Here is an 18192-nt window from a genome sequence, read left to right as displayed (position 1 = left end):
GCCTCCAGGTTCCTTCTCACGGGCCATCCATCTTCAAGCCAGCAACAGCGCATCTTTCCCCTGGCACTTTGTACCTCTCTGGTGTCCTCTTCTGCCTCCAGTGAGAAAACTCTGCTTTAAAGGGCTCCTGTCAGTGGGTCAGGACTCTCTGGATAGTCTCCCTTTTGATTAACTGAAAGGCAACTGGTTGGGAGCCTTAATTACATCTTAGTCACAGCCTCAGAGATTAGGGTATAAAGTCTTGGGCTCCAATTTAAGGTTCTCCTTACCACAAATATCCTCTAAAATTTTATTTGTAATTTTCATAGGAAGTATGTAAACTCATTATTAAAAACTTTCTCTGACCAAATAAATAAAAATGGTATCTTAAGTACATTTTAAATTTGAGAGAATACCTAAAACTTTAATATATAGGTTTCCAAAATAATTAACAAAATAACAAAGATCAGAGGGAAGTAAATGAATAGGACCGAATTTCATCTTCCCAGAATTTTCACTGACTCCTTTGAAGGGATGTGATTGAGTAACAAAGAAGAAACCTTTTTAGCCATGTAAGATATTGGTTGCTACATTTTTATATCATTTATTTGATGTTTACATTTCTCCTCTCTAAAATCCTGTTTCATCATATGTTGTTTACTTTAGAGTAAAATTAAAAAGCATAACTTTTTCATTTAAAGGTATTTTATAAACAAGGGACTGATAAATCAGCATATTACTTCTGGTAATAAAAAGTTTAATTTTGGGGGGATCTTTGTGGAAATATCCCTTTTCTAAATTATTTCTTAAAATAGCTTTCCCTTGAGTTATTCTTTGTTATCTAAAAGATATTTCCACACTTTTTATAAATGTGCTATTAATAATAGCCTCCAACAATATAATTCTAATGCTGTGAGAGACCTGTGTATACACAGGCCGAGCTCCAGAGAGGCCTGTTCCAGTCATGCAGTGAGTGACAGGTGCCAAGGTGAAGGTGTCGGTGTTCTATTATCATCCCCAGTGATTTATATCATATTACACTTCAGTGAGTGGCCTGTACCTAATAGCTTCTATAGAGAGATGTATTTATGTGTAATGAAACCATCCAGCTTTCAGGCATTGTCAGTATGCAGAGACAGGTTAGGTTAAAGGGCAAAATTGTGAAGTAAAAATGGAATCAGTTAAAAAATAGTTCACAATTGCACTATACATTTTATTTCTAACTTGTTAACTTTTTGCTAAGTCAAGCAATATTTTGTTGTTTCTGAACACTTCAAGCTTCACCTGTGTTAAAGGCCAGGGTTTTTATTTTTTTCATTGCTACCGTAATACAGAGACTAGAACAAGAGTTGCAAACAGATTCTTAAACTGGGCTAGGTAAACAATATAAATGAGGGAAGCAAGCCAAGTGGGATGTGGGGGTGTCCTAGAGAACATGTGACCCATTCGAAGAGATCAGCCCCCACCGGGCTCCAGCCCAGTGGTTACCATGTTGGGAGTCTAAGCCCATGTGCAGTTCTGCTGATTCCCAAGAAGAGTCAGAAATAAGAAGTTTCATGTATCTGCCAGTCTTTACACATTGAAAATCAGTTCAATTTTAGAAAGACAGTATGGGCCAAACAACATAGGCTAAAGGCTACTAACTTGACGTTTCTGAACTAGACTCTCCCAGGGACTATTTCTATATATGAATGTTAGGCAAAGAGAATAGTTTCTCTGGAAATTTTTTAAAAGATAAACTAAATGTGTAGGTAATCAAGGAACAAGTTAACCAATCTGTTTTGTGCTGTCAGATGATGGAATTAAACAATAAAAATAATTACACCTATCAAAATCCACATTTAAATAGTCAAGATTTAGCTCAAAGGAGATAGCCAAAATCTTTACTCTCTCCTCTTATCCTTTTTTCTTCTTCTTGCTTTGCATCTTTTTTTCCCTACAATAAGACACTGACTTAAGCTCGAGACGTAGAGGGGAGAGATAGAATGAACTCTTGGGGGAAGAAATAACCTATTTCCTCTCCACTTCAGCTTTATGCCAACAATAAGAGCCTTGGGGAAAGATGAATAGAGTTTCTTATGTCGAGGAGAGCAAAATCTTTCTGTATGTTTACTCTAATTGCCTTTGTCATGCTCGGAATTCCTGGTCAGGTCTTATTTCTTTGACAATAAAACATTGTCTATAACTCAGAGTTTTTAGTTATTAACTGTTATCTGTACGTTAACCAAAAAGTAGGAAATACAGAAAAGACTATTTTTTAATTATTGTTCAAACTAAGTTTTACATAATTATATTTTAACACGCACATGCAAGTAATCTTGTTAAGGTTTTGATTTTAAGACCACCTGAAAATCAAAAAGAATAGAAATACTAAGAGAGGTACGGGGTATGGTTGTATGACAATTTATTTCTCTGTATATAAGTTTTTGTAATTATCTATAATTATCTGTTAATTGAATATAATTATCTAATTATAATTCAAAATTATGTAATAGACTGCATTTAGGCCATTCATCTTTCATGGCCATATTATATATAGGCCATAAAATATGCAATATATGTTTTGCATCAGAAAATACAGAATTTTATAATAATATTCTATACAAGTCCAATTGTGGAAATGGGGTGCCTTACACACAGTAGGAAACAAAAATGTTTTCTTTATTGACTAGAAGCTTTTGATTAATTAAATTTTCAGACAAACTGAAGATTAGGACAAACTTTGTTTCAGTCTGTGACTAAAATTAAAATGTTATAGTTCACTTATTTCAGTATACTTAATGATCAATCTCTTCTCATGGGTTGAAGGGTGTTAATAAATATTAATGATTATTTTAATTAGATATAGAAGGACATTATTCTATTGATTCCATGCATGTTTTTGGGAATTTAACAAAATGCGATGTAGCAATAGTATGGAATTTTATGCAGATAATAAAGAGAATGAAATAGGTCTCTGTCTATTGATCTGGAATAATATACATGACATGCTAATATGTAAGAAAAGCATATTGTAGAGTAGAATATAATGCCTTTTTTTTTTTTTTTGAGACAGGGTCTCTCTCTGTCACCCAGGCTGGAGTGCAGTGGCATGATCTCAGCTCACTGCAACCTCTGCCTCCTGGTTCAAGCAATTCTTGTGCCTCAGCTTCCCCAGTAGCTGGGACTACAAGCACCTGCTACCACACCCAGCTAATTTTTGTATTTTTTGGTAGAGATGGAGTTTTGCCATGTTGGCCAGGCTGGTCTCAAACTCCTAGCCTCAAGCAATCTGCCTGCCTCAGCCTCCCAAAGTGCCGGGATGACAGGCGTGAGCCACCGTGCCTTGCCTATAATGCCATTTTTATTAAAAGCAAAAAATCTGTGTATATTTATTTGGGTATATTAATAAGAGCCGGAATAAAGCACAGATTTGCCAGGTTGACTGGATAACCTAATAATGGTGAGAATGGAGGAAGTTTGAGTGTATTAGCTTTTTATTCAGTCATCTTTGCACTGTATCACTAAGTAAAATAAGCACTTGTTACTTTTGCAGTTTAAAACATACAAGAAAATGTAAATTAAAAATAGTTTTGCCACCCCACCTATGTGGAAAGAAGGAATTAATTTAACAAATATTTATGAAGTGTCTACTTAAAGTGCCAGGCACTTTTGTTTTTACCAGTGAAAACAGAGATGCTTATCATACATACTCTGGGGAGTTTGGGTGAAGTCAGCAGCAGAGGGAAGGCAAGCATGATAAATAAGTAAATTTTATAAGATCTTAGAAGATGTTACAAGGTCAGAAGAAAAGTATAAGATCAGAGACTTAGGTGTGCACAGGGAAGGCGGTACCATTTTAAATAGGGTGGTCAGGGTAGGCTTTATTCAGAAGGTGACATTTGAACAAAGACTCGAAGGGCGTGAGGTAGGACTGTTTGGAGGAAAGTGAAATATATGGAAGAAGAGCATTCTAGCCGGAAGGACCAAGCAGTATAAAGTCTCCATTGTTGAAAGCAGGCCTGTTGTGCAAAGACAGCCAGACCAGAGTGAGCATGGGTGAGAGGAGAAGTAAGGGGGCAGACTATGAAGGGTCTTACAAACTATGGTTTGACTTGACTCTTTTTCCTGAATGATGTGGAAAGCCATCAAAGGGTTTTGAACAGAGGAATGAAATTGTAGCTTTAGGTTTTAATAGGATCATTGTTCATCAAAAATAGGACAAGGGACACCAGTCACATTGGCTGTTGTCATACTCCAGGGTAAGAAGATGATTAGATGATTACTCTGACCAGAGTGGTACGTGGAAGAGGTGAAGAAAGGAGTTGGACTTGGGATACAGGGATACCTTGGAGATATTATGGGTTCCGTTCCAGACCACTGCAGTAAGCCAGTCACAGAATTTTTTTGTTTCCCCATATATATAAAAGTTATGTTTATACTATACTGTGGCCTATTAAGTGCAGTAGCATTGTGTCTAAAAAATGTACATACCTTAATTTCAAAAATACTTTATTGCTAAAAACTGCTGATGATCATGTCAGCCTTCTGCAAGTCGTCATCTTTTTGCTGGTGGAGGGCCTTCCCTCAATGTTGACAGCCACTGACTGATCAGGGTAGTGGTTGCTGAAGGTTGGGATGGCCGTGACAGTTGCTTAAAATAAGACAGCAGTAAAGTTTGCCACATTCATTGATTCTTCTTTTCACAAAAGATTTCTCTGTAGCGTGCAATGCTGTTTAATAGCACTTTACCCACAGCAGAAATTCTTTCAAAATTGGAGTCAATCCTTTCAAACCCTGCCTCTAAGTTTATGTAGTATTCTAAGTTCTTTGCTGTCATTGTCAGCATATTCACAGCATCTTCACTAGGAGTAGATTTCATCTCACGAAACCACTTTTTTTGCTCATCCCTAAGAAACAACTCCTCTTCCGTTCAAGTTTTATCATGGGATTGCACAAATTCATTCACATCTGCAGATGCCACTTCTAATTCTTTTCTCTTGCTGTTTCTACCACATCTACAGTGACTTCTCCACTGAAGTCTTGAACCCTTCCTTCAAAGTCATCCATAAGGGTTGGGATTAACTTCTTCCAGCCTCCTATTGTTGACATTTTAACCTTCTCCCATGAATCACAAATGTTCTTTTTTTTTTTTTTTTTTCCAAGACGGGGTCTCACTCTGTCGCCCAGGCTGGAGTGCACTGGCACAATCTTGGCTCACTGCAACCTCCGCCTCCCAGGTTCAAGCAATTCTCCTGCCTCAGCCTTCTGAATAGCTGGGATTATAGGCCCGTCCCACCACTGCCAGCTACATTTTTTTTTTTTTTTTTTTTTTTAGTAGAGATGGGATTTCACCATGTTGGCGAGGCTGGTCTCGAACTCCTGACTTCAGGTGATCCACCCGCCTCAGCCTCCCAAAGTGCTGGGATTACAGACTTGAGCCACTGTGCCCAGCTGCAAATGTTCTTAATGGCATTTAGAATGGTGACTCATTTCCAGGAGGTTTTCAATGGACTTTGCCCAGATCCATCAGAGGAATCACCCTTTGTGGCAGCTATAGCCTTAAGCAGTGTATTTCTTCAATAAGAAGACTTGCAACTTGAAATTACTCCTTGATCCTTGGCTGAAGAATGGATGTTGTGTTAGCAGTCATGAAAACAACGTGCATCTTCTTGTACATTTTCATCAGAGCTCCTGGGTGACCAGTTGCCTTGTCACTGAGCAGTAATATTTGGAAAGAAATCTTTTTTCTGAGCATTAGGTCTCAACAGTGGATTTTAAATATTCAGTAAACCATGTTATAAATAGATGTGCTGTTATCTAGGCCTTGTCCATTTATAGAGCACAGGTAGAATAGATTTAGCACAGTTCTTAAGGTCTCTAGAATTTTCAGAATGGCAGATGAGCACTGGCTTCAACTTAAAGCCACCAGCTGTGTTAGTCCCTAATAAGAGAGAGTCAGCCTGTCCTTTGAAGCTTTGAAGCCAGGCACTGACTTCTCTTTAGATGGTATCTTCCAACAGAAGGCTGCTTGATCTACATGGAAAATTTGTTGTTTAGTGTGGCCACGTTCATCAATGATCTTAGCTAGATCTTCTGGATAACTTGCTGCAACTTGTACATCAGCATTTAATGCTTCACCTTGCACTTTTATGTGATGGAGCTGGCTTCTTTTCTTAAACCTCATGAATCGATCCCTTTTAGCTTTCAGCTATTCTGCAGCTTCCTCCCCTCTCTCAGCCTTCACAGAATTAAAGAGAGTCAGGGCCTTGCTCTGGATTAGACTTTGGCTTAAGAGAATGGTATGGCAAGGCCAGGCGTGGTGGCTCACGCCTGTAGTCCCAGCACTTTGGGAGGCTGAGGCAGGTGGATCACCTAAGGTCAGGAGTTCGAAACCAACCTGGCCAACGTGGTGAAACCCCATCTCTACTAAAAATACAAAAATTGGGTGTGGTGGTGTGCACCTATAATCTCAGTTACTCAGGAGGCTGAGGCACAAGAATCGCTTGAACCTGGAAGGCAGAGATTGCAGTGAGCCAAGACCACGCCATTGCACTCCAGCCTGGGCATCAAGCGAAACTCCATCTCAAAAAAAAAAAAAAAAAAAGAGAATGCCGTGGCTGCTTAGCTCTTCCATCCAGACCACTAAAGCTTTATCCCTATCAGCAATAAGGCTGTTTTCCTTCTTTACCACATGTGTGTTCACTGGAATAGCATTTTTAACTTCCTTCAACAACTTTTCCTTTGCATTCACAGCTTGGCTGTTTGGCACTAAAGGCCTAGCTTTGAGCCTCTCTTGGCTTTGAGCATGTCTTCCTCACTAACCTTATTTCCAGATTTTGGGTTAAAGTGAGAGATGTGCAACCCTTCCTTTTACTCCAACACTTACAGGCCATTGTAGGGCTACTAATTGGCCTAATTGTAATATTATTGTATCTTAGGAATAGGGAAGCTTGAGGAGAGGAAGGGAGTTGGGAGAACAGCAGTTGGTGGAGCAATGAGAACACACATAACATTTTTCGATTTAAGCTTGCCATCTTATGTGGGCATAATTTGTGGTGCCCTAAAACAATTTCAGTAGCAACATCAAAGATCACAGATCACCATGCAGATATAATAATAATGAAAAATTTGGAAATATTGCAAGATTGCCAAAATGTGACACAGAGATAGAAAGTGAGTACATGGTGTTGGAAAAATGACACTGATAGACTTGCTTGATGCGTGGTTGCTACAAACCTTTAATTTGTCAAACAAAAAACTGCAGTACCTGCGAAGTGCAGTAAAGCAAAGCACAATAAAATGAGATATGCTGTATGTTTTGAAGATACACCCAACAGGATTTCCTGATGTGGGATTTGAGAGAAAGAGAAGAGTCAAAATTGACTCTAGAATTTTGTCCTGAGCAACTAGAAGGACAGAGTTGAGTCAGCTGAATTGAAGAAGGCAGAGGGTAGAACGGGTTTCAGAGGTACAATCAGTAGTTCAATTTGGACATGTTAGATTTCAGGTATCTCCTAGATATCCAAGAGGAGGTGGCAAATAGGCAGATAGTATTCGAGTTTGGTATATGAGAACTCGACTAGAAATAGAAATTTAGGAGTCACTAGTGTATATCTGAAGCCATGGATCTGGATGAGATCACCAAGGAAGGAAAAAGCCCAGGGACTGAGCTATGGTACAGTGCTGACTTGGGAAAATTACGGTTTCTTAGTGGTATTACTAGAAACTCAGATCTCCTATCCATCATCTACATACTAGATGTCCAGTTCCGATAGTGGCAGAAAACTGCACTAAAAATTAAACATTCCATGGTGATTTTTCTAACTCTTTGGAGTTTAGATGGGCCTTAAAAGGGTATTGTTTGAATATAGACATTTTTAAATCAAATTAAGTTCTCATAAAAACCTTAAAGGAAACCAGTTTTCCTCTGGATACATTTTCAGTAATAAACATAGGCCTTATGAATCTCTTCATTGACACTAGAACTGTTCTTGGGTAGGAATACCATAATTCTAAAACTTTCACCTTTTTTTAGAGAACATTTTAGATTTTTTTTAGGTGGATACACAGCATTTATTGTACTAATTTTGCTACTGTTTTTTTTCTTTCAACTTTTATTTTAAGTTCAGGGATACATGTGCAGGATGTGCAGGTTCGTTACATAGGTAAATGTTTTTTTCACATCTTTTATATCAGAAATTGAGACCCATGTTACAGTCAAGGGCACCTTACAGTCATGGTCAGCCTGGATTAAGGGTGTGTTTTTCCAGAGAGGATGGCACTGGTGGTCTCAACACTACCAAGGAAACATTAAATTGTCTGCTTGAGGTTTTTTTAGACCACTGGTATGTATTCAGACCACACACCTCTATGAGTACTGATATATAGCGCAAATTCTAAGAATAAGTTAGTTTTTCTCCCTTCCTGCGGTGCCCAGAATGACTCACATAAGTTTTCTTCACTGCCCCTTTCTGTGGGTCAGGTTTGTACTTGTCATCCTCACTCCTTGTTTTATCTGAAGATCTGTTAGGTCTGCATTTTTGAACATTCTCTTTTTTTTCTTTTTCTCATTCTTGGTATGGTATAAAACATCTGTATTACAAGCACTGGCATCTTAGATGGGAAAATGATATTGTCATGTTTTGTTTTGTTTTGTTTTTTTCATACTGCCGGAGAGTCCTCTCTATGTCTCTCAGTGTCAGTTCTGTGAATCCTTATATTGTCAGAGGGAGTTAGGAAGGTGATAAAAGGGTGACCAGTCATATGATTCTGTAGAATTAAATTCACAACAATAAAAAGTGTGGGTGGACTGCCTGAACTCAGTGATATTATCTACTTCATTTCAAGATTTTGTTGTTTTAAAGTTAATTTGGCTTTAATCTTGCCCACCAAGAGTTAAACCTGAACATTCAATTATTTGTTCTTGCCCCAGGGGAACATGAACACTGAGACCCTTATGAAAAAAGGTCCAGGCTAAAATATGCTTGAGTGAATCCGCAACCCTCGTGGATTCACCCAAAACAGTAAAAAAAAAAAAAAAAAAAAAAAGAGAGAGAGAGATATACACACACAGACACACACATATATATACATAGACACACTGATGTATTTAATATATATTTTATATGTATTTGTTTTTAAATTATAGTATACTTGCAGTGAAATTCACCCTTTTAGTGTATAGTTCTGAGTTTTGACAAACCCATAAGGTCATATAATCAACAATTTGGTCAACTCAAACCACTGAGTGTAGCCTATTCCAGAAGACTGTATTAATGGAACCATGTAGCATATAGCATTTTTAGTCTGGCTTCTTTCTTTTAGCATAATGCATTTCATATTGGTTGGTGTAGTAGGCTGTATCAGTTCTTTGTACCACTTTATTATTATGGAATAGTATTTCATTGGCTGGCGGTGTCACTGTGTGGTTTATTCATTCACTAGTTGAAGACTTTTGGGGTGTTTCCAGTTTGGAGTTATTATAAATAAACTCACTGTAAATATTTACCTACAGATTTTAACAGTTTTTTATAACAACTGTTCCAGTTTGTATTCCCATGAGAAACATGAGAGTTTTGGTTGCTCCACATCCTTATTAGCACTCTGTATTGTGAGGTTTGGGTTTTTTGTGATGCGAGTCACTCAGCTAGGTGTACAGTGTTAGGCCATTTTTATCTTAATTTGCATTCTCCAGTGAAAATTGATTTTGAGCATCTTTTTATTTGCCATCCATATGTTTTCTTTGGTGAAGTGTCTGTTCAGTTCTTTGCCTGTTTTTTAAGTTGAGTTGTTTGTTTTCTCATTGAGTTCGTGAGAGTTCCTTATGTGTTCAGGATACAAGTCTTTCTTGAGATATGTGATTTGCAAGTCTTTTCTTCCAGTTTGTGTCATACCTTTTCATTCTTTTTATATAATATTTGAAAGAGCAGAAGTTTATAATTTTCATGGTGTCCAGTTTATCAAATTGTTCTTTTATGGGTCATGCTTTGGGAGTTGTAGCTAGGAAATCTTTGCCTAATCCAAAGTCACAAAGATTTTCTCCTTTTTTTTTCCTAGAAGTACAGCTGGCCCTGTGTATCCATGAGCTTCTCATCCATGGATTCAGTCAACTGCAGGTCAAAACTATTTGAGAAAAAAAAAATAGTGCTTCTGTACTGAACAAGACTTTTCTTGTCTGTACATGTTCAAACAAATAATACAGTATAAACTACTTACATAGCATTTACATTGTATTAAGTATTACAAGTAATGTAGAGATTATTTAAAGTATCCCCAGGAGATACGTGCATAGCCAGGAGGATAGGCATAGGTTATATGCAAATGCTACATTGTTTTTTAGCAGAGACTTCAGCAACCACAGATGTTGGTATCTGCATGAAGTCCTGGAGCCAATCCCACAGATACTGAGGGACAACCATAATAGTTTTAGATTTTATATTTAGATCTACAGTCCATTTTTAGCTACTGTTTGTTTATGGTATAAGATATGGATTGAGGATTGTTTTGTTTTGTGTGTGGATATTCATTGGTTCCTGGACTGTTGGTTGAAAACAACTATTCTTTTTCATTGAAATCCCACTGTACTTTTGTTGAAAGTCAGTTGACCTTGTATGTGTGAGTCTGGTTTTGGACTCTTCACTATGTTCTAATACGTATCTAATAGACTCTGAAATACCTGTCCTTTCACCAGCCCATACTGTTTTGATAACTGTGGCTTTATATTAATTCTTAGAATTAGATACTATGAATCCTCCAATTTTGATTTTCTCTTTCAGAATTGCTTTGGCTTTCCTTATTTCCTTTCTTTATCATCTAAATTTTAGAATCAGCGTGTCAGTTTCTTTAAAAAAAAATACTGCTGAGTTTTTTTTATAATGTTCTTTTGAATTAACTTTAAAGATGTACAGAAAAGTAATACTCTCCATATATTCCTCACTCTAACATTCTTCTGATGTTAACATCTTATATAATCATAGTACAATTTTCAAACCAGGAAACTAGCATTAGTACGATACCATTAACTAAAGAACTTATATGAATTTCATCAGTTTTTCTATCAGTGTACTGCTTTTTCTGTTTTAGGATCCTATTTCCTATTGCATTTAGTTGTTACTTCTCCTTAGACTGAATTTTGGTTCCACTTGCATTAGATATATAAATCCATTTCAGGAGAACTAACATCTAATATTGAGTCTTCTAACCCATGAACACAATATTTTCATTAATTTGTCTTCTTCAGTTACTTTCAGTAGTGTTTTATAGTTTTCAGCTTACAGAACTTGTATGTTATTAGATTTATACCTCAGTATTTCTTTGTGTGTGTGTTATCCTAAATAGTACGTTTTTAAAAATTAGAATTCCACTTGTTCATTGCTAGTATATGGAGATACAATTGATCATTATATGTTGACCTTGATTCCCATGACTTTGTTAAACTCTTTTAGGAGGATTTTTATAGATATTTTTAGGGATTTTTCTGTGTAGAAAGCCATGTTATCTGAATAAAAACAGATTTTTCTTCTGTACTAATGTGTAGTGCCTTTTATCTCTTTTTCGCACTTCTTTGCACTTTATTTTTGAGACCGAATCTCACTCTGTCACCAGGCTGGAGTGCAGTGGCGCAATCTCTGCTCACTGCAACCTCTGTCTCCCGGGTTCAAGCGACTCTCCTGCCTCGGCCCCCCCCCCCCCCCCCAGTAGCTGGGACTACAGGCACGCGCCATCACACCCAACTAATTTTTGTGTTTTTAGTAGAGGTGGGGTTTCACCATGTTGGCCAGGATGGTCTCAATCTGTTGACCTTGTGATCCGCCCACCTCGGCCTCCCAAATTGCTGGGATTACAGGCGTGAGCCACCGCGCCGGCCCTCTTTGCACGTCCAATACAGTGTTAGATAGCTGTCATAAGAGAGGGCATCCTTGCCTTGTTTTAAATTTTGGAGGAAAAGCATTCAATCATTCACCATTAAATGCTGTGGTAGCTCCTAGGGCAGGAGTGTCCAATCTTTGCTTCCCTGGGGCACATTGGAAGAAGAAGAATTGTCTTGGGCCACACATAAAATACACTAATGATAGCTTTAAAATAAAAAGGCACCAAAAAACTTAATGTTTTAAGAAAGTTTACAAATTTGTGTTGGGCCCAATTCAAGCTATCCTGGGCTGCATGCAGCCCATGGGCTGCAGGATGGACAAGCTTCTTTAGGGTTTTTGTAGGTGTTCTTTATAATATTGAGGGAGTTCTCTTCTATTGACTTAGTTTACTGAGATTTTAAATCATGACTTGATATTCAATTTTGTCAAATTATATGCTGCTGTTGAGATGATCTTGTGCTTTTTCTTTAGTCTGTTAAGTAAATTACATTGATTTGATTTTTGAATGTTGAACTAGAATTGCATTTCTAGGTTAAAAACTACTTGCTCATGATGTGTTGCCCGTTTTATATCTTGCCTCGATTCAGTTTGCCGTACTTTGTGGAAAGTTGTGTTTCTATGTTTACGAAGGATATTGGCTTATACTTTTCAAGTCTTTATGTGGTCCTGATTCAGGGTAATGCTGAATTAGGAATGTTCTCTCCTGTATGTCGGAAAGTTTATGTAACGTAGGTATTATTTCTTTCTTAAATGGTTGGTAGAGAATTCTTTTCCACGAGTGAAATCATTTAAGCTCGGGCTTTTCTTTGTGGGAAGATTTTAAACCACAAATTAAATTTTAACTGTGTGCACGACTATTTCAGTTTGAGTGAGCTTTGGCAGATTGTGTCAGATCTAGCCGACTGTCAAAGAATGTGTCCATTTCTCCTAGCTGTTAAATTTGTGGGCATGGAGTTGCTTGTAATACTCCTTTATCATTCTTTTTGTGTGTAAAGTGTATGCAATGATGTCCACATTTTAGTTCCTTATATTTTTGACTTCTCCCTTTTTATCACAGTCACTCTCTGTAGAGTTTTATCCATTTTATGGACTTTTTGAGGCACCAGCTTCGGTTTTATTGATTTTTTTTTTTTTTTGCTACTTTCTGTTTTCTATTTCATTAATTTTTACTCTTTATTTTCCTTCCTTTTGCTTACTCTGGGTTTAATTTATTCTTTTTCTAGTGTCTCAAAACAGAAATGTAGATTATTGATGTGAAACATTTCTGTTCAAAATAAGCATGTAATGCTATAAATTTTCTTCCAAGTATTGCTTTACCTGCAGCCTACAGATTTTAATATTGTGCTTTCATTTCCAATCAATTCAAAATATTTTATAATTTCTCTTGTTACTACTCATTTCACCCGTGGCTTATTTTAGAAGTATGTTGTTGAATTTCAGACTTTTTGAGGGTTTGCCGGGTATCTTTCTGTTGCTAATTTCTGGCTCAGGTGTGAATAGCACCAGTGTCTACAGCTTCCAGGGCTTTTGTGCTCCCGTGCAAGTTCACACAGTCAACCTCTAGCAATGTGTAAACATGTTAGCTGCATTTCTAGCTGACACTCCTGTATGATAGCCTCATCTTCTTCCCTTCTCTGCCATGGGTGAGCCAGTATTCCCATTCTATCTGTCCTTGGAGGTGCTTGTCTTTTCTACGATTTCAGGCTAGTTGATAATCTCACTCTGTGATGGGTTCAAGAAAAGTTGTGAATTATTGTAATTATTCTTTTGTTGCACTACATTACCGTAATATAATGCAACAAAAGAATAATTACAATAATTCACAACTTGTAAGTTACTCTTTTGTTGGTGGTAATGTAGGAGACATACTCTCGCTTTCTTCAGACTAAGGTGAAGCCAGAGTCTTACTACCATGTATTTTGAGCTATCATTTAGGTAGCATTTTAGAGTTCTAGCCATAGAGGCAGAATGAGAGAGGTTGATGGCTTTACATATTAAAATGCACTTTAAGGCTTTGTTTCAGGGCAGAACCGCAATTTCAGTCTCTTGAACATGGGAGTAGCCCTATTGTTTTGTGGTAATAACATTTTATTTTACTAACTATAGTGACATTCTTAATCTGCAGAAAGTAACAGGAGTGAGTTCCTGCACATACATTCACCCCTGCCTTCTTTCCTATTTAAGTTGCTGGGACATTTTGTTCCTTGTGTGGATGGAAGGCAGATTTCATAAGGTTGAGGCCTGGGCTTATTCTTTGGACTAAAACAAGTCACTGCTTAGTAGTACAGCAGTATATCTATATGAAAACTCAGCCTCAACGCAACTCCTATCTGATTGTCTCATCGTGGAACAGCCTGTAATTAGGTACTTCATGCCAGCCTAGTGATTGTTAAATGAACAGAATCCAGGAAACCATCTGTTGTACAAGGCTGTGGCTGGTAATTGACAAAGATATGTGACTGTAGACATTCAATATGGAAGACATCTTTTTAATTATTTTCCACTGCTAACTTAAAGCTTAAACTTTTAAAGGAAAAACTAGTTTATGGAAGTGATTCTAAGAAACTTGTTTAAGGAACTTGAGCTGTATAATTTTTTTTCTTGTTACAAATTTAACTTTATTTTCTGTTTCAGAAAATTCTTCCAGGAGGAAATACATCATTTGATGTAGTTTTTCTTGCAAGAGTAGTAGGAAATGTAGAAAATACTTTATTTATTAATACATCTAATCATGGGGTATTTACTTACCAGGTAAGAACCAGAATTAAAACTTATTTTATACAATATAATCATTACCTCTGCCTTATCATATGACAGCCTTTTAAGAACTCAGGAACTCAAAGGATAATAGAAAATGTAGGAGTTTAGACTTAGAGCATTTTTATACTTACAGTGAATATCTCTATTCAATATCTCTATTCAAATCAGACTGAACAGGTGATTTTAAAGCAACAGCTAAAGTGTTAATTTAAGATTGACAAAAGAATAGTGAAAAAATATTTTCATGCTGACTTATAAAATTTTGTTTAATTTTTACTTTTACACACTTATGAAGCATACTTGATAATAGTGTCAAGATTAAAACATTCATGTCTACTTTCCTTTAGTAGGTATTTTTTGATAAACTTATTTTTACATAGAATTTTGGTTTAGGTCATTAAAGAAAGTTAATGTATATAGGAGTCATATAGTAAATCTTTTTGTATATCAGCCATTATTCTGTTTGTGAATCAAGATTTTTATATGTCAGGACTAAGGCTGGGTATGGTAGCTCACACCTGTAATCCCAGCACTTTGGGAGGCCAAGGTGGGAGGATCACTTGAAGCCAGGAGTTCGAGACCAGCCTGGGCAACAAAGCAAGACCTCATCTCTACAAAAAACATTTTTATAAATTAACTGGGCACAGTGGTGAGCACTTGTAGTCTCAGCTACTCGGGAGGCTGAAGTGGGAGGATCGCTTGAGCCCAAGAGTTCAAGGCCACAGTGAACTATGATTACACCACTGTACTCCACCTTGGGTGACAGATCAAGACCACATCTCTAAATGAAGAAAAACAAAGATTCTTAACAATAATTGCTCATATTTGTCCAGCAGTGTACTATACATGCCCTTCTACCTATGTTATAGGTACAGTTATTCTTGAAGTTTTAAAAGGTTAAATCATTTGCCCAAGTCATGCTATTAGTAAGTTGTTGAGGGGGACTCAAACTCATGTCTTTGTAAGTATAAAGACCATAATCTTTACCACTGTGCTGTGCTGCCAGTGGAACTTGAGTGTTAGCTCTGACACATTACTTTACAGTTCCTGTGCTTTTTTTTTTTTTTTTAAACATTTCCTCCCCAGTACCCATTAACTCTGACATATCATATAAAATAAGGGTCAGTCAGAGTCAGTGTTCCCTTTCAGTAAGGACTGTGTCTTCTGCTTATGTATGGTGAGTAAATCTTTAGCGGTTGCTTAGTAGGCATTCAGTACGCTGTTGATGGTTGGTTCAGTAATTTTGAAGTGCTAGACAGATCTTACCCATTTAGCATGTACGTGTTGAGTAAATGAAAAGACTATCATAAAAATGAAGGTCATTGCCCCACGATGGCATCCCACAACAGACCTAGGTGATGGCAGCCAATCTGGACTATTGAGGGTCATGATCAGGTTGTTCTCAAGGTGACCCCAATGGCCAGCTGTCTTCTTTCTTTACCTCTTCACATCTAGTCTTTCACCAAATATATCTCCAGTCTGTTTACTTCCCTCCTCCTCACTACCACTGCTGTCTTCCAGGCCACTCTCACTGGATTACACATTAGCTGTCTGAATGCCCTCCACTCTCCCCCAACACTGTCTGTTACTCACTCTCTGGCAGAGGGATTTTTTTTTTAAATCTTTTTATTGGTATCCAGTCTGTCTCCAATACTACGATGTAAGTTTCATGAGACCCAGCACATTATCTGTTTTTTTACTGTTGAATTGTTCACTATTGTATATGTGCCTAGCACCTCATAGACACTTAATAAATAGCAATATATTAATAATATCATTTGAATTACTGGTTTACCCTGCTTAGTCAACCTAGGGCCATCCCATGTGGGAATGACCTGGGGCTGGGCTTGGTATTTGAGAGGTTGTCTGGGCCGTAGATCCATCTTCTGATGGTTGGGGTCAGGAAATCTTTTGACTCCCTATTTTCTTCTTTTGTCTATTGCATGGCTTCTTGAAGGACTGTTATTCAATTTCTAATATATTAAAGAAATCATTCTAAATTCACATACATAGTCAATCAAATATGTAGCCAAATCATGTACAGAAACAACATTTGTGGGGGTTTTTTTTAAATAAAGGGATTGTTAATTTTTTATACATAAATTAGATTTGCCAGTCTCCCTAGATCAGTCAGTTATAACTAAAAATATTAATTATAAAAGCAACTAAAATTGCATTTTTTTCCTCCACTGAAACAGGTATTTGGTGTTGGAGTTCCAAATCCATATCGATTGAGGCCGTTCCTTGGGGCCAGAGTCCCTGTGAATAGCAGTTTCTCACCTATAATAAACATCCACAATCCTCACAGTGAGCCTTTACAGGTGAGTTTATGATGGTAATTTTGAATAAGCTTCATTTTGGTGGGAATTAATGCTTAGCATGAAATCTCAGTTTGTTACAGTTTCCAAGACTATTTAAAATAATAGGGTTTTATAGTGTATTGAGAGGGGTATTACTTTTAGTACAGCTTGCTGCAGTCTGAATTTTGGAATACAGCAGTCTGAATTTTGGAATACAGCAGTCTGGATTTTGAATTTTTTGAATCATTTTTAAAACGACTGTGTCTTCTCTGGTGTTATAGTTTAGGCAGCTCTGCATTTAAAGAAGAGTTTTTAGCTACACAAGGCTGCTTTTTTTCTTGCCTGTAAACACTTTCTGGCCCAATATCCATGTTTTTTAAAACAGTTCAAGTTTATTTCTGGAAATAATAAATTTTTGGTGATGGCAACCTAGAAATTAAAATTCAGGGAAAGGGTAATATAGAATTATGCTTAAAAGCAAGCTTGTTTTTTTATTTAAAAAATTCAACTTATCTTACCTAATCTTCTAGCAGTAATTGTTTTCAAGTGTGAGATTCCTCCTCACTAGCTCCTTGTCTCTTTCACAGTGGAAGTGGCTAGTGTCATTCCTTCAGAGATTTTCTGAAATCTCTACCTTACATCCTAGGGACTTAGCTGTGTGACATGTGCAGCCTCTGTGGCTTCTAGTTGTGTTGTCTGTGTTAAAAGTAGATGTGAATGCTTTCTAGAATAGTCCAGGGTGCCAGAGTTCTTTCGGACCAACACTGCAGGACTTAAAAGCAGCTTGAAAATGACAGGTGGAGGAAAAATACTATATTTTGTGGTAAGTATAGGGCTTTGGCAACTAAAATGGCTGTTGTCCCAGACCACCCTGGTATAACTGTTCATAAACAATGGAAGAGGAAATGAGGATGAACCAGGGAAATGTTCAGAGCCTGAATAGTGAAATGCTTAGAAATGATAAGTGAAAGCAGCACGAAAGAAATCTCTCCCCAACACTTGGCAACAACTGGGTGAAGATAGCCCCAGTTTTAATTTTTGTAGCTGGATGTCTGCATCACAGAAGAACCTGTTCTTATGTCCTGCTTTTCAGGTGGGAAGTATTCCCTCTTATCCTCACCATCCTTCTGTTGTTTACGTCCTTTTGATACTTTAGGTAATGGTGTAGTTTCCCTGTTCTGGCTGTTATTACAAATCTATGTAGAAACTTCAGAAATTCTTGCTGCTTTCTTTCCTGTTTTTACAAAAGACAGGGTCTCACTCTGTCACTCAAACTGGAGTGCAGTGGCACGGTCATGGTT

The 18192-nt window shown here is 37.2% G+C and overlaps 1 protein-coding gene across 8 annotated transcripts in view; it reads left to right on the top strand.

Moving 5' to 3' along the window:
• The window catches only part of TMEM131 (transmembrane protein 131), a 239613-nt gene that overhangs the window by 137222 nt on the left and 84199 nt on the right, over nucleotides 1-18192 (top strand). For all 8 annotated transcript variants that reach the window (XM_047443844.1, XM_047443843.1, NM_015348.2 and 5 more), the window contains 2 exons: nucleotides 14466-14582; nucleotides 16790-16912. In XM_047443844.1, the coding sequence (XP_047299800.1) occupies nucleotides 14466-14582; nucleotides 16790-16912 (240 nt within the window). The remainder of the gene's footprint in view (nucleotides 1-14465; nucleotides 14583-16789; nucleotides 16913-18192) is intronic.

This window comes from Homo sapiens, chromosome 2 (assembly GCF_000001405.40).
Source record: "Homo sapiens chromosome 2, GRCh38.p14 Primary Assembly".
NCBI lineage: Eukaryota > Metazoa > Chordata > Mammalia > Primates > Hominidae > Homo > Homo sapiens.
Note: the sequence above shows the minus strand (reverse complement) of the source record. Positions and strands in the feature narration are given on the sequence as shown.